At 44.9% G+C, this 27,667-nt stretch overlaps 1 protein-coding gene across 8 annotated transcripts in view, besides 2 other annotated features; it reads left to right on the top strand.

Annotated features, from left to right (window-relative positions):
* Positions 1-27,667, top strand: part of RPS6KA2 (ribosomal protein S6 kinase A2) — a 453,410-nt gene that overhangs the window by 237,832 nt on the left and 187,911 nt on the right. Inside the window, exon 2 of one of the 8 annotated variants that reach the window (XM_006715549.4) lies at positions 5,641-5,724. The exons of the other annotated variants lie outside the window; for them this stretch is intronic. Within the exon in view, the coding sequence (XP_006715612.1) occupies positions 5,641-5,724 (84 nt within the window). The remainder of the gene's footprint in view (positions 1-5,640; positions 5,725-27,667) is intronic. 8 annotated transcript variants of the gene reach the window in all.
* Positions 3,495-3,995: an enhancer, noted in NCBI's record as "OCT4-H3K4me1 hESC enhancer chr6:167034435-167034935 (GRCh37/hg19 assembly coordinates)". NCBI's record gives its function as "activates a minimal SCP1, AML or CMV promoter by ChIP-STARR-seq in naive and primed H9 embryonic stem cells {active_cell/tissue: H9 hESC(naive and primed)}" and the evidence as "EXISTENCE:reporter gene assay evidence [ECO:0000049][PMID:30033119]".
* Positions 5,656-6,422: an enhancer, noted in NCBI's record as "H3K4me1 hESC enhancer chr6:167032008-167032774 (GRCh37/hg19 assembly coordinates)". NCBI's record gives its function as "activates a minimal SCP1, AML or CMV promoter by ChIP-STARR-seq in naive H9 embryonic stem cells {active_cell/tissue: H9 hESC(naive)}" and the evidence as "EXISTENCE:reporter gene assay evidence [ECO:0000049][PMID:30033119]".

The raw sequence follows: 27,667 nt of genomic DNA, 5'->3' as shown, positions 1-27,667 counted from the left end.
GAATCGCTTGAACCAGGGAGTCAGAGGTTGCAGTGAGCCGAGATTGCGCCACTGCACTCCAGCCTGGCGAGAGAGCGAGACTTGTCTCAAAAAAAAAAAGGTCAATGCTAATACAATGCTCTCTTTTTTACAAATGCATTCCCCAGCTTTCTATTATTTGATACTTGTGAAAATCGGGGTAGCATATGTAACTTTCCTCATTCTATTGCTAAGGGGAAGAAACCCTGAGAGTTTGAGAGTCTTGTTAAAAGCTTTCCAAGGAATTCATTCTGCAAGTGTTTATGGAGGACCGGGTCTTGGGCTGGTCTTTTTCTGGATACTGTGTCCAAAAAGACACGAGACATAGAAGTCCTGGCCTCAGGGCACTTCCACCCAGTGATGAGTCTCACAAGCAGCTGACTTTGTGCCCCAGTCCAGTAAGTTCCTCTTCTGCGCCCTACCCATACTTGAGAAGGCTGCCTGTTCGTTTGTGTGTTCACAGCTGGTTATAGGCCAAGAAGCACTCATCAAAAAATGTAAAACTGAGCAGGGGAGGTCTGTCAATGGATTGAGGTTGAGAAATAGGACACAAAGTACTGAACACAGATGTGTATTTCCTCTGTGTGGATGAATGAGAAAGATAACTTGTTTTATAATAGGAAACATTTTAAAATTGTTTCTGTGAAATTTATATTTTGAAATATACAAAGACTTTGAAAATTTTTGTTATTTGAAATTCAAAGTCTAGTGACATAAACAGGAAATTAATGTAGTTACTTTAAGTTGAAAACAATATCTTCATTTAAAAGGCTTTCAGAGAGAGACTCAGTCCTAATGTTTTCATACTTGATTTTATTTATTTTCATTTTTTATTTTTTTAAATAATGAGAAATTTCTAAAGTTCCTTCTTTTTTTTCCTCTCTTTTACATTTATGCTTGGCAAAACTTCTCTGAACATACTTGATTTTAAAATAAATTTTACGTCCATAACCCAACATTTGCTAAACCCTAAGTGACAGAGAAGTCAGGTTACTTAATCATATTTGGAAACAGTTTATTAATTACAGATTAAAATGAAATTCACTGAATATTTTTGTCCTCTATCAGCATAGAACCAAGTGAGATGGCCAAGTTGTTGACTCTGGCAACTATAATTTTGGGGGTTTCTAGAGGAAAACTGGGTATCTTCCATAGACTTCCATGGGTGTGCCCCAGAAAGGTGTCAGGTCTCAGTGACCGCAAGACCCTCATCCCCAAGAGAGCTCTGCTTTCAGGGCATTGACAGTATTGCCTAAGAACCACGACACATTGCTGGGCAGAGTAACCTGCATCTCATTCAACAGTCCACTTCATAGATGAGGAAAGGGGACACTGGCCCATTTGCTAAGCTGGAGTTACCGTCACCTGGCTGGGATAGGATACCCTCTGAGTGTCTGGCCTATGAGTCACTGCACTTATCTACAAAATACGTTACCCATGCCAGTTGCCTAATGAGCTAAGGTGGCTTTGAGAGCAAGGAAATGCACCACCCTCACCGTCCTAACTTAGCAGAACCATAGGTCCACTGAGCTGAAAGGAATCTTCTCCCCACTCAACCTTTCCACACGCCAGTAGAGCCTCAGAAGATGGGATGTGGAACCTCCAAAGCTTAGTTTGTATTTCTTCCAACAGGGAATGTACATTTAAACTAATTAAAAGTGAGATTATTAACTCAAGACTTCCACCAACTTGCTAAAGGTGTCAATATGCAAAGTCATTTCATTTAGGAAGCAGTTATTAGTTTGGAGTTACCAAAGCCAGAGGGTTCTCTTTGGTGACCTATTATTTGAGCTATTTCAGCTGTAACTGGCATTTCTCCTGAAAGACAGTAGGGAGTGAATGAGGAAGACAAAATGCGAGACTCTACCTGGGATATTGCTAGTGATGAACTGCTGAGTGGAAGGAGAATTTCGTTTTATTTATCTATTTGCTCAATTGTTCATACACTCAAAAGATTTTAGCACATACTGTGTGCATTGTGCTAAGCAACTGGGACATAAAAATAGGATCCCTGCCCTCAGTGAGCTTAATGTCTAACAATAGAGGCAAACAAGTCAAAAGAAGCTTGCTATCAGGGTATAAGTGCTGTGAAATTATTGGCAGCTTTGGATTTAAATGGTCTGATTAGATCAATTGTCAATTTATTTCTATTTCTGGTGGTCACAGATCATCAGAATTCATCTATCTGTACATATAAAGACATTTTAATTGCTCATCCCTTTTAAGGAAAACATGGTATCCTAATAAAGGAAGTGTGAAGGGACTCTTAGCAAGCATCAGGAACAATATTGGCTCCAGTCATGGATAAAAAGAAAGCTTCCTGGAAAGTTTACCACTAAGGCTTATTCTTGGGGCATGATAGGTGAGCTCTTCTTCTAGATCTTGGGTGGTTTCCAAGAAAACCATTTCTAATTAAGATAATTTTCAGGTACTCTCAATAAATGCTCCCAAAGAAATTATGTTTATCTTAATTTTATTGGATTTTCTGACAGCCAAAAAAAAACCACAATAAATAGTCCATATTAGTGAATACTGAATTGGAATTTGTTCTTCTTTTTGCTCCTTTATATACTCATTTTAAAGACATTAAGCTTAATTCCTTATTTGTGGTCACAATTTCTGTGATATGCCTTATGCTTGGAATTTCATTACATACTTTCTCTCTTTACGTTCAGGAAAAATCCCCGAAATAGTGTTGTTGTTTTTTTAAACGATGTGAAAAGACAACTAAACGTAGTGAGATTTTGCCCCTTTTGCTTTGCCCGTCCTTTTCCGTAAACCCACGTGCTGACTGTCTTTGGCCACACCCAGCACAGCAAAGACTGTTCAGACTATTTTTCATGCATTCAGAAGTAGAAGAATGAAGTGGAAGCCCATTAAATAAAAAAGGAACTATGTTCACATCCTCTGACTTACCATTTACCTGGAATTTCATTCTGTTTCTCACATGTGGGGCAAATAGTTTCTCAGAAGTGGCAATTTAATAGTGGGTGGGAGAAGTATGAACTCTCTGAGGCAGCTTCCAGGGCTGCTGGCTGTGAAGGGGAAGGGGAGGAAAGAGGCTTTAGGGCTGTAGCTTCAGGATGAAGGCAACGTTCGGGTCAACCAGAGATGTGTGCGGCCTTGGGGACCTTCAGGGAGCTGCCAGGAGAGTGCTCCTTTGATATGGGGGACCAGGATGAGTTTACTTTGTATGACGTGGAGTTGGTAACCAGTAACTTAGCCAGAAATACTCTACCTTTTTTGCTCCAAGGATCTGTGCTTATTAAATAAGCAGAGCTGGTCTAAGACTAGCAGCATTCTCTAGAATGCTCTGCTTTTATTTCTGATTACACTGAATTAGGTTGTGTTGCATTTTCTCAGCGTTTTATGTTTGCTGATATATTTTCACTAGTAAAAGCTATTACATTGAATTCAAATAAGTAAAAATTATCAACAAATAGGCTGTTAAGCTACAGTGTGATTTAATCAAGCAAATGGATCAGACACAAATATATTCCATATGAAATACTGTTAATCACATCTGACTTGCAGCTGCGTGAGAAGCCTTGCCTGCTAACTGCTTAGCTAGGGGAAAATAATGGTGCAGCTACAAGGAAGCCGGAGGCACCTGCATATCAGGGCGTGGAGGACAAATGTGCGTAACCATACACCTAGGATTTATTACCAAGCAGGCCAGAAGCAGTGTTTCCGACCAGCCAAGATGTGTACCTGTTGTTATGCAGTCATTTGCATATGTTATGCAGTCATTTGCATGCGTTCCTGGAGATCAGTCAGAGGGTGTTCCCAAGAATGCTACTGATATGAGAGCCCTACCTGATTCCATTCGGCGAATGCTCCCTAGCCAGTCTTCCTCTATGAGCCTTGGTGTGCAAAGCTCCCCAGGCTGGGTGGTTTGCCCTTGCCTTGCCCCGTGGAGGTAGGATTCTGCAGGCATGGAGCAGGTGGTGTCCCTGTTTCCCTCCTGCCCCTGCTCGGTGCCAGTCTCCTGCCGTGGGAAGTGCCTGACCTTGCCGGCTGCCCCTTCTCCCAGCCACCTCACACTGCCCTAGTGTTCTTGCTGTCTCCCTTGCCAAACCACTGAATCCTTCTGAGCACCTGTCTCCCCAGCTACAAAATAGGGGTAACCCTGTAATAAGGGTTATCTGCAATTTATTAAATGCTTCATCAGTGAAATGTGCCTTGTCAGGACAGCTTGCACTTGGCATCCGTGGTGTTGCACAAAGCTGACTTTGGTGAGACCATATCTGTAAAGGTTCTTGCACTACATTATGGGGGAAAAATGTTTTTTCTCTCCTGCCAGCCTCTTTCCTTGCCCCTTTGAATACACATCTGTTTCTAATTAGTATTATCACCATGAAACTAGCTTTTCCTAGGTTATAGCTATGTTAAGTTTATATACAATGATGGTTTAATCTTTGATGCTGTCATTTTAAACATAATTCGTGGTAATAGCCCCTCTTGGAAAACAGACTTGTTTTCCACGCTGTTTCTGGCATCAGCCCACAAGGAATGGCTGAGTGGGGACTGTTGGGAGAAAGGAGAAGGCACTGGTAGAAATTATCTAGCCTTTTAGAGAAAAGAATTGTTTCTTCTTTCAGTTATTCTGTCTTCTGTATGAAATTAGCAAGATTTTTAAAAAATGAATCAAAGATTAGTACTTAGGTATTGGCCAGTGTATTTCCTCCTGTTGCCAAAGAAAAGAAAGGCTTGAATGAGATTGACAAATAAGAAAAACAGGCCTCATACCTGTGGAATGATTCGTATGCTGTAGTTTCACAATCTGAATTTTCAGATGGACATTAGCCAGAATGCAAGCCTGGGGCCTGCTGTGGAGAGCAGTCTCTGCACTCGAAGTGCACGGTAACATTCTTTGCACCAAGACATCTTGGCCACACATCCTGCCAAGGGCCTGTGGGCTTGCAGCTTTTACTCATTAAACTGTGAGGCCAAATTTATAACAGGAGGAGTGGGGGGATTTTACTTTGAATGACTTTGTTTTGGAATGGTTATGGTAGAAATGCCCTAGCGACTACTTAAGAAGCTCGCACAGGTCCCAATTTTAATGCTCTCAGCCCAGGATAATTGCAACTAGTTCTCTAGAACTAAGGTCAGATATCATATTAGCTTCCAAATAGTTTTACATCCATAATATCATGTGGACAATCTTTCTGAGGGTGAAAAACCAAGGAAGCCTCTTGTTCTGAACTGTGGGTAAAACACAAGAGGAGCAGAGAAGATGGCTTTGAGAGGACTCTGTGTGAGAAAAGCTGGGAGCCGGGCAAGGCTGGGAGGAGGCAGGAAGCCCAGGGGGCTCTGCAGGCCCTCCACGAGCCTTAAGACTTCAGGCCACATGGCCGTCAGCTCCTGCAGGCACCTGGGGCCCTGGGCTCTCTGTCACAGGGTCAAGCCCTGGAGAGACTGCTGCGTTCTACACTATGCTTGCAAAGGTGCTACGAGAAGCCCTCTTGCCTGTAACTTGTTAAAGCAACTCTGTTGATTGGTTGACTTTGAACATAGCGAAGGAAAGAAACACAGACAAACAAAACAACTTTCAAAAGAGCATTTATTTTTAGAACACCTTTGACTTCTTGAATTCTTCTTGGTTTCTCATCACTTCAGGGACTGAACAGACGGGCTGCGGGAATCAAAGTGGTGACTATAGCTGACTGCCTTCATTCCAGAGAACCCGAGACACAGCATGAGGTTGGGTCTGTCTCTTATTTCTAGATCTTAACAAAGAAAACGCATGGATCATGATGTGTGACTCAGTCAAGTCCTTGTAGAGTACAACCCAACAAAGAAGTGAAAAAACTTTGCTGATGGCATCGATGGGAGCCCATACGCACAGGGCTCGTGCGCGAATCTGATGGCATCGATGGGAGCCCATATGCACAGGGCTGGTGCGCGAATCTGATGGCATCGATTGGAGCCCATACGCACAGGGCTTGTGGGCGAATCTGATGGCGTCAATCGGAGTCCATATGCACAGGGCTCTTGCGCGCAGCGTCCAGTGTGTCTCTCAGGGTTGTAAGCGTCTAGACCTCTGTCCTGATGTCTTCCTGAGCGCGTCGTACTGCGGTGTCAAGGCTCATGACAGCAGAACAACAACTGATGGAGGGAAGGGAGTGTGACCTGCTAAAATGAGCTGGCCACAATCACTCTGTGTGCGTGAGGCAGGAGAAGAGATGTACGTCTGAGACGCTCGTCCTACCCTCCCGAAGCTTGGATGTAACGGAGGTGATGGGCATTTGCCCGAATTGCCATGGGAGTTATAGAGTAGTGCCCGTGTTTTCATTTTACTATCTCCACCTCCCACTCAGCCAAGGCCTCTCACTGCCTGTGAGCCTGATCTTCTAGTGATGGTCAATCTTTTCCTTGGTCTCACCCCTGCCCACGCTGACCTCCCTCCAGGTCACCTCTCTACCCCAGTGATCTTCCCTTCCCTGAACTGTCTGCCCCTCAGTCCATTCTCAGGCCCTACCCATACCCCTTCCACACCCAGGCCTCCTGCTTTGCATGGCCCTGAGCTTCTCAGGGGCTTGGACTCAGGGCTGTCTCTTAGGGAGACTCTGGCCCAGGGACACTTGGATCCAGACAGGATTCGGGAAGAGAAGTTACTGTCCGTATGTGACTGTGGGTATAGTGGAGCTCACTGCATCTGAGTCCTAGCCTAGAGGTGGTGGTTCGTGTTCAGATCACAGAAGAGAGGAGTGTGCTGCACAGAAAGCACATTGAAGGTTTCTTCCCTGTGATGTGGCTTGGCCACCCATGGTGGGAACATTCTGGAGTTTCAAGGCTTGGTCACCCACAGTGGTATATTCTGGAGTTTTAAGAAGTGTCCTGAATCACAGGTCCCCTTGCATGGCCAGGCTCCGAGTCTGCAGAGCTTCACGTTCTCTCAGCCATCCGGGACAGAGCACACGGGTTCTCCCCAATGGTGTCATCAGCCTGGACCCCATAATACTTCTTTGCTGTGTGTGAATTTACAGAAAACCTCGGGCTGATTTGTGGTCTGTGCCGCTAAAAATGCTGGTGAAGCTTGTGCAGAAGGAAGGTGCCGCAGGCTGGACTTGGCGTTTGCTCGGCAGCCACAGACAGCTGTGGCTGTTGCGGGACCGTTGCCCCCGAGCCATGCGTGGCCATTCTCCATGTAATTCGCAGCTTCTAGGTTAATATGTACAAAGTCCTTGGAGGTCATTTAGGACATTTTATCTTAGGAATTAGCCATGGACTGACTATTCACTACGTGCCTAAATTATCAGTAGGACTTGGGTGTAGAGGGTTAAAATGCAGACAAAAAGTGGTGCTTACCTGACGCCAATGGAGGAGGAGGTCATTAAAACCGTCGCGTAAGTCAAATTACTCAGAAGCCACGAGAGAACCACATAACAGCATGAGGTGGTGCTGGCATTGGGTTTCTTACTAACTACTGTTTGGCCTTGAAAAATTTTCTGTAGAAAAAATGTCTAATCTAGGCTCACAATATAGCTGATCTAGTGTTATCTTACAATAACATTTTTGGGAAAAAATCCCCGAACAACTTTGATTACTTAAAAATTTTTAAAAGCAACAAAATATCTTAAAAGATTGAGAAACTATCAACATTTTTTAAAATGCACAGATTTCCACATGTATTAATGCTGGTAATTTTTAAGAAATAGAAAAACAGGAAAAGTCAATAAGGATGTTTGTTTTAAAAGCTGTTGCTTCTAGAATAGGTTTTATTCTAGGAAGATGGCCTTCGTGACATTGCTGATAGAGATTTATAGTGAGATTTAAAGTCTTTGACTCCTGACGCTGAGTTTCTGTGATGAATGACTTCCCTCTGCACATTCCAGCCTGTGACTGCCTTCGGCCCACGATGGAGCGGGCGCCCGGCACCTTCTGTCAGGCAGAGCCGGGCTTCTGTCAAGGGCTCTCCTGTACCTGGACCCATGAACCTTCTGGGCTCAGTTCTTTCTCCCACATTCATTTGTTCCTCTTCCTCTTGGGTGTTAGGGGCCTTGGCGCACCTTAGATTAGGAGAGTCAGGCACCTGTTGTCAGGGGCCTTGGTGGCTCTGGGCTAGGTCAGCACTGTGGCTCCTGCTGGGCAGCCCCCCATGGGCACCACAGTGGGCTCACTGCCCCTGTGTGAGCCCAGGTCTCTAGGGCAAAAATCCTGCCACACCCACATGTGGCCATCAGGCCCTGCTCCCCAGCTGGCCTGACACCCACATGCAGCTCAGAGCTGTGGGCCTGGGCTCTGGCCTGGCAGAGGGAGGATGGATGGGAAGGATGGACCTGCAGCTGAGAGCCTTTGGAGCCATTTTCCGGAGTCAGGGTCGGGGGTTCTGCATGTTCATCTCCCTCTCTTGAGCCTGGCTGTCCCTAGGCTGTAGAAGGTGCGCCATGCACCTACCGGAGCTGTCCGCAACTGTACCGTCATGTATGTGAACACGTGTTGCTGGACAGGAGCGACTCGGTTGACATGGCCTCAGGCAGGCATGAGAGCTGCTGCTGGTGAGCAGGGCGGGTCCCGTTAGTGGTGGTGGTGATTTCTCCTGCAGCTGGTGAGGGGAGCTGTTGCCTGTGATCCATGCGTCGGGGTTGGGGCTTTGGAGGTAGCCCCCATGTTGTGAATTCTGGCTCTGCTATGTGGCACTCATATGACTTTGGCAAGGTCACCAATGGGAACTTCTTGAGGCTCAATTTTCTTCTCTGTAAAATTAGTATAACATCTGCCTTACAGGGTCTGACCCGTAATAAATGAAACTCCAGAGTGCTGGGGGGCTCTCAGGTGGCATGGCAGGTCAGCCGGGGTGTGGTCTGACTGGCACCTTCTCCCCACTGAGGCTGCGTCCCTGCACCCACACACAGTGGGTGGCAGGGTACGGCAAGAGACACGGTAGAGGCCTAGCGCAGGGACTGCTGTTACAGGGATTGGGTGTCTAAAAAGCGTCGTCATTTAGGCTGAATTCCATTGAATGAGAATGACTGCAGTGAGGCCTGTGTATGCAGGGAGATGTCTCCCAAATGCAGCAGATCCATCCCCTTGTTCACAAAGGGCAAAGAGTGGGCGGGAGTCCTGCGCTGAGTGGGCAAGTCCTCAATGGTGTCTAGACCCCACAGGCAGCACAGGGGACAGAGCGCCCATCCTGGGGGGGTGTGCTCTCCCTCTCTGATGTTCAAGATGGTCCAGGACAGGATAGAGCGGGGATAAGGAGAGAGGTCCCGGAGACCATCGGTATCTCATTCCAGCACCTGCACCCAGCTCTTGCTTTTGCTGTTTCCTACCTGGTATGAGCGGAGCGAGCACACGGTGTGTGGGCACCGTTGGCCTGTGCGCCGCAGGTTTGTGTTTCAAGCGGGAAAGGCCGGGCATCTCTGGGGCCCCAGGGGGTCAGCAGGTCCTTCCGATGTGACTGGGCAGGTCAGCCTGGCCTTTGTCCACTGCTTCCTTTCATTAAAAAGAAAAAGGCATCCCCTCCGATATCTTCAATCATCTTCAGAAATGCTTTTCTTACTCCTCCCTTTATTCTACATCTTCTTCCTCTACGTTTCCTTTTTGCTTTTGTGACCTGTGACCAAAATACTGTGCACAGGGAGTCCACGGTGGCTGGAAGGCCAGCCTGGGAGTGTGAGACACGATGTTCTTTCTGGTGTGTGGTGCGGGAGTCGCATGGCTCAGCCCCCAGTGGAACATCTATCTATGCTTGTTTCCCAGTCAGATGAGTCAGCTGAGAGGGAATGTTAATTATCAGAACTGAACTTCTGAAAAAAGGTGCTAATGAACAATGCGGCCACATCCTGCTGGGATTTCAATGGCAGGAAATAAAGTAGGACTAGTCGGGACCTGGGCTTCATCCGGCTGAGCCCCACATCCAGCCCTGACGCAGGTGCTCAGGTGTAGACCCCTGGTGTTCTTGGTGGGTGTGGAAGGCTGGATAATGTCTCCTCGAGAAAGCCACAGCCTAAGCCTGGAACCTGGAGCTGTTCCCATATGTGGCAAAATGGGCTTTGTAGGTGCGATCAAGTTAAGGACCTGGAGATGGCGTGATGTTCCTGGATAATCTGGGGAGGCCCTAAATGTAATCACAAGAGTCCTCGTGAGAGGAGGCAGAGGAGGTCTGATTGCAGAAGCGGGAAAGGGTGTGACAGGGAGGCAGAGGTTACAGGGGTGGAGGAAGGGTCAGGAGCAAGGAACGCAGGTGGCCCCCAGGGCTGGACATGGAGTCACCGGAGGGACCGGCCTTGCCAACACCAGCAAAATGGATCCCGAACTTCCGATCTCCACAACTGGGAGGGAAAACCCTGTGTTTCAAACCACTGAATTTGTGGAATTTGTCACAGCAGCAAGACAAAGCGAATATTCTGGTCAGTTCAGCTTTGAGGAAGATAGCATGTTGTAGAAGATGCAGCAGACAGGACGCAGGCAGGGCTGTGGCCTCAGTGTGGGAGGGACACGGGCAGGGGCCAGGGCAGGGCAGGGCCTGGTCACAGAAGGTGAACACCTGCCCTCGGGGCCTGGGTAGGAAGCGGGCCGGGCAGCACAGCTGTGTCCCAGTGTCCTTCTGGGAATGGGGGCTCGAGGTATTACGATAGAGGGCTCGAGGTGTTCACTAGATGTCCACATGGCATTCCAGAGCCAGATGTTCAGCCTCCGACAGGCGTAGGAAGCTCGGCTGCATCTATATCTGTCTACAAATCAAGTCTACATAGAAAAATGTACTGATCTCAAACATACACAAATTGTAAGGCATGGCAGGGAGCCATGAGTGGCAGAGGAGGACAGTGTTTGAGAGGGCAGTCCAGGGAGACATCTCCGCAGGGCTGAATGAAAGAGGTGATTGGCCCCTAGAGGGTGTGGGGCAGAGTTTCTGGGGGAGATGTGGCTCAAGCCTGGTTCCTGAGCTGACTGGGCTTTGGCCTCATCTGGCACCTGCCAGAAGTCAGTGTCCCCAGAAAGACGGGGAAGATGGGGTGGGCTGTGAGAGCCCAAAGCTCTTGGGGCCTTGGGGAGGAATCTGTGTCCTGAAGGCCATGGAAAGCCCGACTGTGTCCTGAAGGCCGTGGAAAGCCCGACTGTGTCCTGAAGGCCGTGGAAAGCCCGACTGTGTCCTGAAGGCCGTGAAAAGCCCGACTGTGTCCTGAAGGCCGTGGAAAGCCCGACTGTGTCCTGAAGGCCGTGGAAAGCCCTAATGTTTCACATAAGGGAGTGATGGGATCATATCTCAATTTAAAAGGATCCTTTGGGTGATGCGTGCAATTAGATTGAAGGCTGGCAGAGAAGAAACTGAGCTAGCAAGCTCTCGGAGCTGCCATCCGACACCAGGGTGGACAGGCCTTGCAGATAGCCTGGACACACTATACATGACAGAAAAATCAAAGATGACTCCTAGATCTTCAGCCTGAGCTACCTTTTAGAAACAGGCGTGACCGTGAAGCAGGGTGAGTAGCTCAGGGTGTGGGTTAGTGAGGCAGGTCAGAGCTCTCCTCTGTACAGGATCAACCTGAGACTCCTTCGGTGACGTGTTTTGCAAATTTCAGCAGTAGACAAAATTGTTTTGAAAAAACTCCATGTTTCTCGTTATACTGCAATCTGTTTGCTTCACTGAAGTCTTAAAGACTTTCAGCAGCACTGCTCCTAGCTCTTGCACCCCAGCCGCCTGAATGGTGGCGACAGGCTGAGCTACAAATCAGCAGGTCTATGAAATGCAGCACCGGAAGCATTCATGTCAAACTGCAAATGCCACTGAAAGTGAAGGATTCCAGGTAAAAGCAGGCATGTTTCAGGACTGGAAATTTTTCTGATCACTAAATCAAACCTCCCCCCTTAACTTAGAAAATTCAGACACGTGCTTTTAACTAAGGACTTGAAATACAGGGAAAGGCCCTGAAAAGTCCACCCAAATGGATAGCTCCGTGTCCTCTGGGTCAGCTTTCTCTGGGAGGTCCGGGAAACACTGCTCAAGCATCTGTCTTTTAAACAATAATTAAAGGGCAGGAGGAGAGGGGAGAGAAGAGGCAGGAAGAAGAAAGACAAGAGAAGGGGAAGAGTGGAGAAGAGTCAAGAAACAAGTGGGACGTAGTGCGCAGGGCCAGAGGGAGGAGGACAGGTCAAGGGCATGGAGAGAGAGAGGCTGATGTGGAGTAAATTTGGCAGTGGCCACTTGGGAAAACATCCAAATGTAAGAGGAGATGAGCTTCCCAACTGCACAGTCCTGTTACCTTCACTCAGCATTTTCCTACCCGAGCATGGGTAACAACAGACGCCCGGACAGAGTGATAAATGGAGCACAGCCCACGGGCTCTGCAAAGCAGTGTCTGACCTCGGTCAGATGAGCAGGATTAGTGGAGGCAGTCGGGCAGCAAGGCCCCAGCTCAGAGCTCATCATTTCTCCTTTCCTCGCCCTGGTCTGTCATGGAGGGAGAGAGGAAGAGTGCCTGGTTGCAAGCCCGCGAGGGGAGCCAGGGGTCTGCAGGAGCCACCGTGTGTTATAGCTTTGCCAGGTGACCCAGGGGTGCATGCCATCTTTCTCCTAAGGAAAACTACAAATTCAGAGTTTCACTCATGCACCAGCTGCAAGGAGGATAAACGTCTCTGAGCAGACCACTGAGAAGCCAGAAAGGACAAGTCCCAGTCTCTTTTCTTCCATCACACCTGCCCACATCACACACCTCGTCAAGGGGCTTGACTCCCCTGAGCTTCCCACAGAGAGTCTCTTCCAGGCTTTTCCTAGAGCCCCCCCAGATGGTCAGTGAGTTCCCTGGCCCTCACACTCAGATTGCGGCCCTTGCATCTTGATGTTGGACGACGGAGGAAAAATAAGAGGAAAAAGAACAAACAGGCCTGGGAAAGGGGTGTTGGAGAATGGGTTGGATGCCTTATTCATTCACAGTATTTCTTCTGTGCAATTAGAGGATGAGGCAGTTGGAGAAAGCCAAGCCTACCTTGTTTTTAGAGAAACTTTTTGTTTTTAAGTTTGTTTGGCCCCAGGGAGATCTGCATCCTGGGCGTGTGTGCCCTACCCATGGCACTTTCCTGGTCACAGGGATGAGCTCAGGGTTGAGAATGTGGCCCAAGATGGTCAAATAGGATGTAACCTGAGATCCCTGCCCAGTGGCTGTGGAGAAACATGGAAACGTGGAGTCCTGACTTGCGGTTTTGCAGCCATCTGTGACCATAAGTTACCCAGCTTAAGGATGGTGCCAACACACGAGAGGAAAGAGCTGGGAAATCCACAGAGAAATGAGATTGGAGCCCTGATCAGCCTGAGCTTGAAGTCCACATTACCTTGAGATATTTCAGTTATATGAGCCAAGCAATTTCTTTCATTGTTTAAGCCAGTTTGATTTGGATTTTCTCTGACACAGATAAAGGCGTTGTGACACACATATTTTATCTCATTCACTCTGTACAAGAAGCTTGCCTGAGGATAAGTATGTTATATACCTTTTGCCTAGATGAGGAATTGGAATCCAATGTTGAAAAGGTCCTCTGGCCAGGAGCAGGATAGGTCATGTCGGATGATGGTGGAGTGGGTGACTGAGATGGAACAGCTTTTCAGCAGCTACAGGCTAGTGATACTTTCTGAGCAGAGGGGCATGAATCTGGTAATGTATTTGTGTTATTGGTTCATTAGAATAAATGGGCACATATGGTATATTTAGCAGCTTTGGACTTGTTGAAATTATGCTAAATGGCTATATGTGAAAAATATGGGCATGTCTTAATAGGATGTATATTTGGAAAATATAATAATACTTTTAAATTTGCTTCAAAACATAGTAGAAATGCTTTTTCAGTTTTACCAGTCTATTTGAGATAGTAAACTGGGATAAATAGGATTAAATTTATTTCATTCGTTGAAAAAAATAAATATATTATCTGTCTGCAATCATTCTTTTTATCCTTTCAGGGTATTTAGTAGGTTTAAGGATACTTTTGTTCTTTTTCTTTGTACTTCTCATTCTCATAATACTCTCCCAGGCTAAAATCCAGAATATGCAGATAGTAATTTAAAGAAGTGAGGATTCAAAAAAGAAAGACAGAAATAAGTACTGATTTTAGGAAAGGTATATTATTTATTACATGTGGCTTTCCAGTTTTAAAAACTATTCTGTTATAACTCTATAATAAATGTAATAATTGTATATGCATATATTTGTTGGTAGGATGAATTTTATGAAAACATGGTAACATTATTTCTTTACCACTACTTTCCATATGATTTTATGGTCAAATATTTGGCAGCGCTGCCTTTTAACTGCAGTGATTATGTTTTGATAAATTAGTAGAAGGAATTTGTTATTAATATAGGAAACAACGGAGAAGGTAAAGACTCCTGAGGGGCCCTGGGTGAAAGTAGCATTTTTGGAGGCCTCCATGGCCCTCGGCAGAAACACATTTTATGCTAAATGCATATTTAAGTGTTTGGCCTCATGAAGTGTGTAACCCAGTTGCATAGGTTTTATCTGTATTAACCATCATGAATTCTTTCCTTTGAATTTTGTTCTTGATTTTTGCTACAGCCGATGGGTAACTAGTTCTCTCAGAATTCAGAAATTCACATGAATTTCCTGCTGCGCTTCCTGCTGCCAAGGCCTATGTTGGTGGGATTATCTCCTTATTCACGGGAAAGGAGCGGAAGGCCATTTGCATTTACCTTCTGTGCTACTGCCAGGCTGCTCAGGAGTGGAAAGAATCATTTACGACTTGCTATTTATACATTGATCAAATGACGTGCCTCACGTTGTAGTTGATGCCACACGTGCTTATATAACCATTTCAGAACATCTTTCCCTCACGCTGTTTACCATGAAGCATTGCTGTTTCTAGCAAGCTATTTGGTTGTAAAAGATCTCATGTTGAACTAAATAGCAAGAGATATAATGAGGAGATAGGAGGAGAGAAAAAAATCAAGATGAGAAAATGAGTAGGAATGATTAGAAAAATATGTAAAAGAGAACAAGAATAACTAGTCCGAAGCTAATACATTTTTTAAATCTTCAAATAAGTGTAGGGAGATGTTTTCCAATTGCCTGAGTATTCCAGTTTGTAAATTTCCCATTTTCGAGTAATTACAGATTAATAAAATATACTTGACACTAAAACTTGTCTAAATAAAATTAAACTTTTACGCCAGGCACGGTGGCTCACGCCTGTAATCTCAGCACTTTAGGAGGACGAGGCGGGCAGATCAGCTGAGGTCAGGAGTTCGAGACCAGCCTGACCAACATGGTGAAGCCCCGTCTCTACTAAAAATACAAAAATTAGCTGGGAGTGGTGGCATGCGCCTGTAATCCCAGCTACTCAGGAGGCCGAGTCAGGAGAATTGCTTGAACCCAGGAGGCGGAGATTACGGTGAGCCAAGACTGCACTCCAGCCTGGGCAACAAGAGCAAAACTCTGTCTCAAAAAAAAAAAAAAAAAATTAAACTTTTGATAATTCAGTATATCAGTGTCTCAGTGCTCCTGAGTCATTGATATAAGTACCAAACTTTGCAATACACCATGGTAGCTATAGCAATTTTAACCATAGAAAAATAATGAGAATCATCTAATCTCACCCCAGACAGCCCAACAGATCTTTCTGTAACAACCCCGAAAGTAGATCTAAATCAAGGTTCTGCCATTTATCTCACACCCGGAACCCAGTTTTTTAAACATCTTATGCAGAAAGAGCCACTTTTTAGGGGCATCTGCTTCATCTCTGTAGTACCTCCCACTCCACTGAACTCAGGGTCCTATTGAACCCCAGTTTGAAAACCAGAAGTCTAAAGTCTGTGCAGACATTTATCCAGGGGGAGGAACTGAGTCACAACCTCCTTACTTGGCTCTCCCTATATTTCCATTCCTTAATCCTAGAGTGGAGTAAACAGAACCCCTTGCTCTCTCTCAGGCCTGACAATTTTCCAAACCGCAGTGGAGATGGGGTTGAACTGGGGCTGAGCCTATGACATGTTCCGGAAAGTGCCCTTCAGAGTAAATCCCCAATCTTAAGTTGTTTATTCATTGTTTTCTTTCATAAATATTCTACATGAAAAAATTAGCCTTAGCTTGCCGGTTGTTTGGATTTGTGAATAAACATGACTTTGGGCCTAAATATATATCAACTTAAAAAAAAACAGAACAAACATCTAAAGAATATCTCACCATCCACGATGGGCCAGGACTGGAGCCCTAAAAAAGTTGAGAAAGTCTTTCTTTGAAGCAGAACAGAAATAGAAAACTTGTGAGGGACCATTCTGTAGGCCTCATAGGAAAAAAAGCCATGAGGCACTTTAACTGAATGTTGCCTGCATCTGAGTGGTACCCAGGGACAAGTGCTTTGGTGCCTTTTAGACTTAAACAATAATCAACTTGTTATGTTTTCCCTGAGACTCCAAACTTACTTCTGATTTTGTCTCCCTCTCAGAGATAAACAATCCTGAATTCAATAACTAGAAATTCTTAAAGGGGAATTTTTTTTTTCATGCGCCGATGGATTGTTGAGTCAGGTTAGATGTAAGAATTTTGAGTCAAGCATTTTTAATTTTTGTAGCACCAAATTGGATTGAATTCACATGAATATAGAGATATTGGTTACTACCATACAAATAAGGTTATCCAACTTCTAGACTGTTCTATACAGTGGCTAAGAGAAGCGTTGTCTACCCTCTGGGGGACTCTGTTTCAAAATATACCATATTGTTTGCATTCTAAATTTTATTTTGTTGCCAGGAAGCAAATATCCTGAGGAAATTACTTATCATACACTAAGCCATTGCCTCCTGGGAGTCTTTGTGAAAAATTCCAAATCTGTCCTGAGTATGGACTCAGAATGAAAGCTAGATGTGTGGAAGAAGGCACTCCCCTCCATTCTTCAAGATGCACTATAATAAAAGGCACCAAGACAGTCTCTCTCTCTCTTTTTTTTTTTTTTCTTTCTGAGACAAGGTTTTGCCTTCTCGCTCTGGCAGAAGTGCAGGGGCACGATCATGGCTCACTGCTGCTTCCACCTCCTGGGCTTAAGTGATCCTCCTGCCTCAGCCTCCTGAATAGCTGGGACCACAGGTACATGCCACCTGGTGCCCGGCTAAAGGAAAGTCCCTTCTGAAGAACCATCTCAGTATTTGTTTTGCTTCAAATTGCCCTGAATGCCATAACATTTTGTTTCTGTTTTTGCATACAGCTTTGAGATCTAATTCACATACCATACAATTCACCCATTTAAAATGTACAATTCCATGTTTTAAGTGTATTCACAAGGTTGTGCAACTGTTACCACATCTGTAATGTTTTCGTCCTTCAGAACAGAACCCTGTCCCCCTTTTCCCCTCCACGACCCCCTGCAGCCCTACATCCACTTTCTGTCTCCGTAGAGTTGCCTATTCTGGGTATTTCATATAAACGGAATCATACAATGTGGGGTTTTGTGGCTGGCTTCTTTCACTTAGCCTCATGTATTCAAGGTTCGTTCGTGTTGTAGCAGGTATTTCTCTCTATTGCCAAGTAATATTCCACTGCATGGATATACTACATTTTTTTAATCCATTAGTAAGTTGATAGACATTTGGGTTGTCCCTACTTTTTGGCTGTTGTGACTAATGGTGCTGTGAACATTTTTGTACAGGTTTTTGTGTGGACATATGTTTTTATTTCTCCTGGGTTTATACCTGGGAGTGGAATTGCTGGATCTGGGATGGCAACTCTATGTCTGAGCTTTTGAGGAACTTCTAGACCATTTTCCAAAGTGATTGCAACATTGTACATTCCCACCCAGCAGTGATAGATGGAGCTTTTTTTTTTTTTTTTTTTGACGGAGTTTTCCTCTTGTTGCCCAGGCTGGAGTGCAATGGCACAATCTCGGCTCACTGCAACCTCTGCATCCCGGGTTCAAGCAATTCTTCTGCCTCAGTCTCCCTAGTAGCTGGGATTATAGGCACCTGCCAGCACACCCAGCTACTTTTTGCATTTTTAGTAGAGACAGGATTTCACCCTGTTGGTCAAGGCTGGTCTCAAACTCCTGACCTCAGGTGATCTGCCCATCTTGGCCTCCCAAAGTACTGGGATTACAGGCGTGAGCCACCATGCCCAGCCGAGATCCATTTTTTCCCCACTTGTTATTGTTCACCTTTTGAATACAGCCATCCTGGTGGGTATGAAGTGGTGCCTCCTTATGGTTTTGATTTGCATTCCTCTGATGACAAATGATGTAGAGCATCTTCTCATGTTTTTATTGGCTGTATGTTTTTGGAGAAATGTCACATCAGGTCACTAGCCCATTTTTAAAAATTGGGTGATTTATCTTTTTATTGTTGAGTTATAAGAATTATGTATATATTCTAGATACAAGTGCCTTCTCAGGCATATTATTTGCAAATACTTTTCCCCGTAGTGGGTTGTATTTTCATTTTCTTGATGGTATTGTTTACAGCAAAAATGCCATAACTTCTGTGTTAACCATATTATTCCACCATAATTTGCAGTCGCTTTGAAAGGCCTACACAACGCTGCTTAGATATTCACATTTCCAATAGGGAGTTGTATTCAGGATATATTTTTGCAGAATTAAATTCACCATGCCAGGTGCTTTTTGCTTTTGCTTTTCTTGTGTAATCGAGCAAGGAAGGCAAGAGGGCTATTCAGCTTTGGGTCTCTCATGGTGCACAGGTGAGCGTGTTTCCAGGGAAATCATTTTACCTCTCGTGCAAGCACTCCGACCTTGTGGGTCTCAAAAGAAGTGGGGTGCAGATGGCTGAAGTCTGGTCTATTTAAATAGTCTTGTATGGTGTGCACCATTTTATTTTCATAAGGGCAGGAGTTGGAACTGCATCCTTGGGCTGTAGCTGTAATAAAAGCGTCAAAGAGCCTAATGTGTGCAGCCCCGCAGTCCTACCATGGGCGGCATTATGCTGCCTTTGCCCTCTTGTAGACACTCATCAAGGTGCTTTGCTGGCAGAAGGAAATCAGGACCCAAGGACCGTGATCTGATAACAGGTGCTGATTTAGTGCCTTAGGCTAAATCACATCAACCTGCAAAGTAAAGAGCTTTCTATTTTGGTTGCTGCGCCTCTGGGCAGCGTAATGCCTTTATGTCTCCACCACTGGTCATGTGTTTTCATTTCAGGTCTTATCACTACAGAAAACAATCTTTTGATTTGCTCTTTTCCATAAAATTTGTGTGCTATTTTTATTTTGATGTCACCTTTGAAAGATCTCAGTTGAATGTGTGGAGGGAGGTGTATCTGTGCTTGTGTGTGTGCGTGAGTGCATTTCTATCTAAAATGCCACCTCACGTGGCCCTTTCACATTAAATCATACTCTACATGTTAATTTATTGTTCTAATATCATATTTCACATGCTAATCATTCTACATGCTAATTTTTTGTTCTAATGTCACATGGCATTTTACGTGCCTAGATAGGAAGCATGATATTTTAAAACTTAAATAGGAATGTCTATTAGAGACTTATAGATATCAATCCCGATAACATAATTGGATTAAGTCTTAATAAGCACATTTAAGCATCAAGCAGAACTTTCACATCCCTATATTTAGTCTCATTCGTATTTTAGGCTACGTGACCACCCAAGGGATGCCTTTTAAGGAGCTCGTAATCTAATTAAGGAGATAAGAGTCATTGTCTTGAAATTATTGTAAATGCTGTAAGACTTGATGTCATCTACCTGTTGTAGATTGCAAACACAATGTGGCTTTAGAGGGGTAGAATGTCGTTGATAAAATGAACATGGATCTACTGGCAACACCCAAGGCCCTTGGGGGCCAGGGCCCCTGTGCAGGTGACTTGGTTGCAGGTTGCATCATCTCCCGCCAGAATCTGGTTGGAGGCAGTTCTAGGAGAGGCAAGAGGGATATTCCCAGTGAAGAGTGCCACGTGGTCGCAGTGAAGCCCTGGAACGGGAGGGCCTGAGGGGCCAGCTGTGGGAAGCATGATATTTTAAAACTTAAATAGGAATGTCTATTAGAGACTTATAGATATCAATCCCGATAATATAATTGGATTAAGTCTTAATAAGCACATTTAAGTGTCAAGCAGAACTTTCACATCCCTATATTTAGTCTCATTCGTATTTTAGGCTACGTGACCACCCAAGGGATGCCTGTGGCACTGGCGCACAGAGCCCTGGTAGGTCTGCGTTGGGTGAGGAAGGCTCGTAGTCTTCTCCTTCTTTACCTCCATTAGTGTGGATCATTATTTTGCTGTGGAAATATGAGTGTTTGATCACAGTTTGCTGCTCCAGACATCAGGCGCCCCATGTTCTGAGCACTGTCCATATTTATGTTGACTTCTTACAGCAAGCCCATGACAGAAGGACTTTTAAAAACTCTGATGCTCAGGTAAGGCCCGAGGCACGGCATATGAGGTGCCTGGATGCCACCTCCCCCAGCTGGGGATGGCCCCGCCCGGGAAGCTCCCTTACGATCCCCAGTGAACCCAGCTCCGGCAACTTCAGTTACCCCAGCGGGGAAGCACGCACCACTCTGGGCATTATAAAACATGGAGTTTATGTCTTTATTAATTTCTGAATTTTTTTTTTTTCAGTTTTCCACATACTCATTCCAAACCCCCAAATAGATCATATAAGCAAACCTATTTGGGGAAACGTTTTTTAAAAAAAGTAAGACATTCCTCATTTTTTATTAGTGAGCTGTTATGTTCCCATTCAAGTAAACTCTGAAACTTACAAACACTGATACGAAAACAATGATTTCCCAGATCATTTGTCCCCGTCACATCTCCATGCAGAGCTGTCCACAGGGGAATGTGCTGGTCCAGATGCATTTTACGTAGAGTTGCTCACAGTGAAAAACTTTCAATTGGCAGAGGCACCTTCTCTGGAGCTTTTCCATGGAGGGTTAATCAGGATGGAACTCTTCTTAATTTTATTTTTACTTCTTTCCACCTTTACACACTTTGTTTCATAGTCTCGCCCTTTTCTCTTCGTGACTTCTAGGAGGGACACGTTAGGACGAGTTGGAGAAGTTCTTAGCTCTCATCTCACCCCTTCCAACATGTCAGCTTTGCGGCAATCCAGTTTCTGCCTAAAACAACCTCGATTGCCCGTTTGGTGGGTGCTGAGGGGGTCTTTGGCTCCTCTAACACCCCTGACTTGTTATCGCAAACAACAGTACGGGGGCATTTATTTGATACACCTGGGCCACAGCCATTCCCTGGCCTCCCTTCTGCAACCTCGCAATATTCAGTATCCTTCCTGTGCCTGTTAACTTTGTCTAACTTGAGCCTTAGATCACCCGGAATGTGCCAGCCATGTTCACGATGCCCTCCCAATGACAGGTGTTGCCCAGGTGGAAGCATCTTCTGTCATGTCCCCTCCCATGACTCCTTCAGCAACCTGCACTTCCATGCCAAAGCCCTTTACCTGGGCGCCCTCGACTCCAGAAGGTGACTGGTCGGTAGCTGCCCCCATGCTAATCCCATTTATGAGGCCAAATGAAGCCTTTCAGATCCCACATCCCACACCATCTCCCGTGTGGCTGGTGGATGCTGGACTGGAGGAAGTCACCACTCGGCCTCCCAGAGCTCTGCCCCACCCCACGCACTCTGAGGCTGCGCTGAGTTCCTGGTTTAATTATGCTAAGCAGCACGATCTTTTTTGAAAGAGCCATGGCCCACACAAGCCGAGAGCAGGTGCAGTGATCTCAGCCAAGCTTCCCTGTCCCTTAGAAACCATAACTTGTGTCACGCAGAGACCGCAGACAGGGAAGTAGCAGAGGGAAGGCTCTTTCTGGATCTGTGATGTTTGGTTCTTGATATCCCGCCCAGATCCCTTTTAGACTAAGCTCATGTCAGAACTTAACACTTAACAGATGCAGATGTAAGTGAATGTTTACATTTCCAAATGTTTAGGTCTCTTAGTCTTTGAATGAACTCATCCAGAGGGTGAAAGCAGAATGGGTTCCTAGGTGCCCCTGACCAACACCTCTCTCTCTCTCCAGATTCTCACTGTGGATAGACCATTGGCTTGCAGAAAACTTCCTCTACTCAGTGAACAGAAATATTGACTTGAGCCCTTTTCAAATTTGTCTTAGGAAATATTTCAGACATATTTAGGAATCAAAATACTGTTAAGAAACACCTTTGCACCCATAAATTCAGCTTAAGAAATCAAGAAGTTATCGATACAGTTGAACACCATTTATGGTCCCCCAGTCTCATCCTTCTCCCTCCCACCTGGAGGCTACGATTTCCCTGGATTTGAGGTCTACCACTCCTGTATATTTCTTCCTGTTTTATTGTGTGTATCCTAAACACTGTATTGTTTTTTGCAGTTTACGTGTCATATAAATGGAGTCATCTCGTGTATGCATGAATGCGTCTTGTTCCAGGTTGCATTCATGAGCTGTATCCATGCTGATGGGTAGCGCTTGGTTCCTATGTTTGCTTCTGCGTGGTATTTCATCTGACTGTGCCAACAGTCCTGTGTCAGTTGCCCTGGGGCTGGATGCTTGTTGTTTCCTTCTGGTGTTTCTGAGAGCAGTGCTGCCATGAATGATCTTGTGCATCCATCCCTTGAGCACCGTAGGGGCAGGTGTTGGGGGAGGTTCTCTCGGGTATATACCTGGGAGTGAGATTGCTGGGTCATGGAGCACACGATCTTCAACTATAGTAAATGTTACCAAATTTCCTCCAAAGTCGTCGTATAAGATGCATTCCCACCAACAGTAGATGTGAGTTCTCATTCTCTCCCTCCTTGCTGTTGGTAGGACATCAGGCACTGAGTCGCAGCCCATCGGCTGTGTGTGAGATGGTGTCCCACCGTGGCCGGAACACGCACTGCCCGATGGCCAGTGTGGTCAGACTCCCTTCACATGTCAGGGGCATTGATAGTTCTCTTTGCGTTCCCCATCTATACAGTGTTCCTGTTCTCCTTTTCTCTGCCTCTTTTAGTTAATTTATAAGAGTTCTTTACATATTCTGTATAATAACTCTTCATCAGTTACATGCATTGTAAATGCTATCAAGTTTGTGGCCAATCTTTTAAACTTTTTTATACAGAAGTTTTAAATTTTTATGCAGCTGAATTGATTCATCCTTTTCTTTACATTATATGCTTTCTGTGTCTTAATTAAGAAGTCTATCCTCACTCTGAAGTTGTAAAAGTGATCTGTTATCTAAAATTTTTAAAGTTTTAATTTTAACGCTTTGGTCTTTAATGACTTGCATTCTTTGTGTAGTGTAAAGAATGGAACTAGTTTTGTTTTCTGCTTTTTAAATAAGATAACCAATTTTTTTAGTGCCCCTTATTGTGTTGTTCATCCTTTCTCCATTTACCTGCAAGCACTTCTGAATTCACACAATTCCCTATAAGGATGGAGTATTTCTGGCTCTATTCTGTTTCATGTGTCTAACCTATGTCAAAACCACACTGTCCTATTAACCATCAGTTTAAAAGAAGTCTTGATAGCTAATACAGCAAGTCTCTCCTACCTTTATCTTATCGGGTTTTCTCAATATTGTCGTAGCTCTTCTTGGTTCTTTATGCTCCAGGTAGCTTTTGGAGACAACTTGCGATTGACACAACTCTTTAACCTAACTAGATTAACTTACTTTCAAATTAAATAAGATGTTTTAGGTAGAAGTGCTTTGTAACCAATGGAGTGCTATGTCGATTTAAGCTGTCAGTATTTGCATCATGAAAATGTGATTTATTTGGATTTAAGAGCATTTTGTGTATTGTATGTATCTGCTAGTATATAACTTGCTTGCAAGTAGAGAAATATGGCTTGATTTCTATCATTTTCTCTATCTAATGTCATGTGGCTTGTGGCCTGTGGGTGCCCAAGAAATATTATCTGAATGGAATCATCAGTCAGGTTCTAAGATAGGCCACGTGGTTAGTTGTTTTTTCTTTTTCTTCTTTTTTTAACACTTCTAATTCTTCCTTCATCTGTCACCATCTTTTTGAGCTGAGTATAAGAGATTTTGTTTGTTTGTTTAAGAAATATTGGATATGCAGAGTATTTTAATAAATTGCTCCCTGCCTACAGGCAAAAGCAAGATGAATTTCAATAGGGATAATATAATAAGAATGACTGAGTTTAAAATTTAATTTCCTACTGATTTTGATAAGACCAATTTCAAAATGCATGCATATTCCATTTTCCATTTCTATTCACTTTGTGCAATGAGCTTCTTTCACTGATTTCTACACATCTGAAATTTCATTTTACTTCAAATACGCTACATGCAGCTATATTATTTAGTCCTGAAAATAGGGCAAGTGCAACAACTTGTATGTTAAAAGAATTAGTGTTTTCTTCTCCCATTTGTTTATGCAACCAGTTTTTAGACTCTCGTAGGTTCTTATTCAAAGATAATCAGGTGGACTTCCTGCACTAAAGGATCTCAAAACCCATCAGGAATAAGGGATATTTCCAAATTCCCAAGACAGTGTGTCAAACAGGGAAACCAGGTGAATTTAGATCGGAAGAAAATCACATCTGATGGTGGTGACTCATTCATTTATCTTCACTGAGCAAGCCTTGATTGAGTTTCTACAAGGTGCCAGGCATTGCCTGGCTAAACATCTGAGAATAAGACAGACATCGTCTCTGCCCTTGGAGCCCATGGTCCACTTGGGAAGCCAGATGCCAAACAGTAACCTTGGCCAGGCATGATGGCTCGTGCCTGTCATCCCAGCATGTTGGGAGGCTGAGGCCAGAAGATCACGTGAGCTCCTGAGACTGGTCTGGGAAACATAGTGAGACCTTGTCTGTACTAAAAACAAAAATAAATTAGCCAGGCGTGGTGGTGCACCTATAGTAGGTGCACCTATTTGGGAAGCTGAGGCAGGAGGATTGTTTGGGCCCAAGAGTTCGAGGCTGCAGTGAGCTATGATGGCACCACTGCACTCCAGCCTCAGCTATGGAGCAAGACTCTGTCTCAAAACAAACAAACAAACAAACAAACAAACTTACCACCCTCACCCATATACGGAGGAGGGGAGGCTGGGTGTCCCTTGGATCATGACGGAAGGAGCTACTCTAGGGAGGTGATCAGGCAGGGCTCAGGGAGATGGTGGCTTCTGCTCTAGGCCTTGAGAGTGACGCATGGAGGATGGAGATGGAGTGGGAAGGAGACCTGCCTTGGGAAGATGCACACAGAAGCCTGTGTCGTTTCTCCCAGCACTTAACACGATCCTCACATTACTGAGCGCATATTGGGCTAACACTCCTGCTAATCTGGCCCCTCCCCCTACAGCTTATTTGTTTTTTGTTTAATAAGAGTAAGATGTTGCATTTATGTCTCTTATTTTGTTCTTAAATTCATGCGTCTGTTGGTTGGTATTTTTAGAGATACATATCCCATCATCCTGCAAGTGACCTGCTGTCTTCCCCGTGTCATGAAGCTTCGTGCTTCCCCTGGCGCTAATGAGAAGGCTGAATGGAGCTAGCCAGGAGGGTGCCCTCAGAACTGCCTTCTTGGTTGACATGGATTGCTTAATTACTTCCCTTTGGTTGAGGCAGCTATTAATCTGCCAGTCATCATTTCTTCATTTTATTCGGTGTATATAATGAGAAAACCTTGTTAAATTCTTCCTGAAAACCAGAGACACTGTTTACCATTTTCCCCACACCTACCCATCTGGTAACCTCATCAGAGGAGAGAAGGAAATCAGCACATATTTCATATGACTCTCCTGATTATTGTTGATCACTGCTTCCTCCCTAAGACGTTGTCAAGCTAATTTCCAATCTCCCTGTCTGTAGTTAGCAGAATTTACCTTTCTAAAAACCTCTACCTGCTTTCAGTCCTTGATACCAATCCAGTGCTTCTTCAAACATCCTCAAGAGTGGTTGTTTACATATGGCACGCACCAGGTGACTCCTGCTCTGGATTCTTTAATTATTTCTTAGGATGAAATTTATCTGGAGAGATTTTGATCACCGAACCTGGGACAATAGTTACAGACCTGGACAAGCAGCAGTAACCCCTGAGACAGGCCGGGCTGGGCCCTGCCTGGGCATCGGACACCCCACTGTTTCAACCCCACCTGGAGGACCACTTGAGAGTGAGCCGTGTCTGATGGGGATGAGCTGAGTCCTGATCAGCTGTGGAATACAAGGATGGAGGCAGGAAAGAAGGGAGGTAGGAAAGAGCGGTGCTGTGTGCTTATACAAAGAAAAGCCTTGTTGTTTCCTGGACTGCCACAAAATCTACCAGAGTTGGGACATGATTTCTCTTCCTGACTCCATTATCTCAGAGAAAACAGGCTTCCTATTCCTGACGCAACGGGAAAGAATGTTGTATAAACAGAGGCGCTTAGAGCCAAAATGTTTAGAGCGTCTACCCACACCAACCACCCGTGACTCAGTGCATGATGGGCAGACTCCAGGCTGTTTCACCAAATGTCTTCAAGTTCAGAGGGTCATCTGATTCCAACTTCTCCATCCAGAATTGGTTTTGCAATGCCATTAGCTCCAAATGTGGCTTTTTATTCCTTTATTGTCCCTGCCTATCTACTTGGTAGAGAATCCAGTCTTAATTTTGCAAACCATTTAATTCATCCATAAGCCTCTCTAAACCATTCCTGTAAGAACATAAATGCCTATAAGAAAATAAAAGCGTGGTCTGTCTGCCCCCATTGCCTTTTGGAGGGATTCCTTCCACACCAAGTTAGGGAGGAGAACAAGGCATTATCCTGAACAGCAGGGAGGGAAAGCATCAAAGGAAATCAGAACGGTTCAACAAATGCCGTCCTGTGCTCCAATTTGGCCCCACAATGTCTTCTCTTCCTTTCTCCCCGCTCTCTCCTGAGAAGTGTTTTGTTTACTTTCTGCCTGAGAGGTGAAATAGTAAGGAAAATAATAGCAACAATTATGGTCATCAGGAGCATGTGAAATCAAACCATGCCTCTGTGCAATTTGCAGGTGTCTCTGGGACTGCTCCTGGACCCATTTAGATGGGAACAGAGTAGAACATTTTAATAGGGAAGAAAATACCATTTGCACAAAAGCTCTGTCTGTGGCATGACTGCAGTGGTTCTGACAGGAACTGGGTGATGAAAACCAACAATAGCACGGTGCCCGGCTGGGGCTGGCACACCAGAGAGCAGAGTCCTGCTCTCTAGAGCATCTCACCAGCCCGTGGACTCCGGAAATCTGTTTCTATTCTCTTCTCGATGATGCCGTCACCCATTGGATATTTCTTGTCTCTTGATGTTTAATAATATGAAATGGTCATTTTGAGGCTACTAGTTAAATCCATGAAAAATTCATGAAAATTTTGGCTTGCCTACAGTGTCTATTAGAGCTGCAATCTTGCATGTTATCAGCTCCATGATCATTGCATTCCAGAACGATTGTTTCCAAAATGGCTTACGTTTTCTTTATGTGTTAAATGTCTCCTCTATCTTTATTCCAATCCTCCTACCTTTTTTCCCAGAAGAAGAGATGCTCTTCCTCCTTCTGAAGCCAGTTCCTCCTCCACCCTGCAGCCCAGCACCCGCTCCACTGCCGTCCTTTTCCCCAGCTCTGTGTCCTGTAGAGATGCTCAAATGGCCCCCATGGCCTGGCTGCCAGGTGTTGGCTTCACATTTGTCTCTTGTCCTTTTTTTCTCCCTTCAGTGACTGCCACCTCCTCAGAGATGAGCTGTCTCCACCTGTTGAGTCCCATTCGTCCTCGGGGGCTGTGTC

This window comes from Homo sapiens, chromosome 6 (assembly GCF_000001405.40).
Source record: "Homo sapiens chromosome 6, GRCh38.p14 Primary Assembly".
Lineage (NCBI taxonomy): Eukaryota > Metazoa > Chordata > Mammalia > Primates > Hominidae > Homo > Homo sapiens.
Note: the sequence above shows the minus strand (reverse complement) of the source record. Positions and strands in the feature narration are given on the sequence as shown.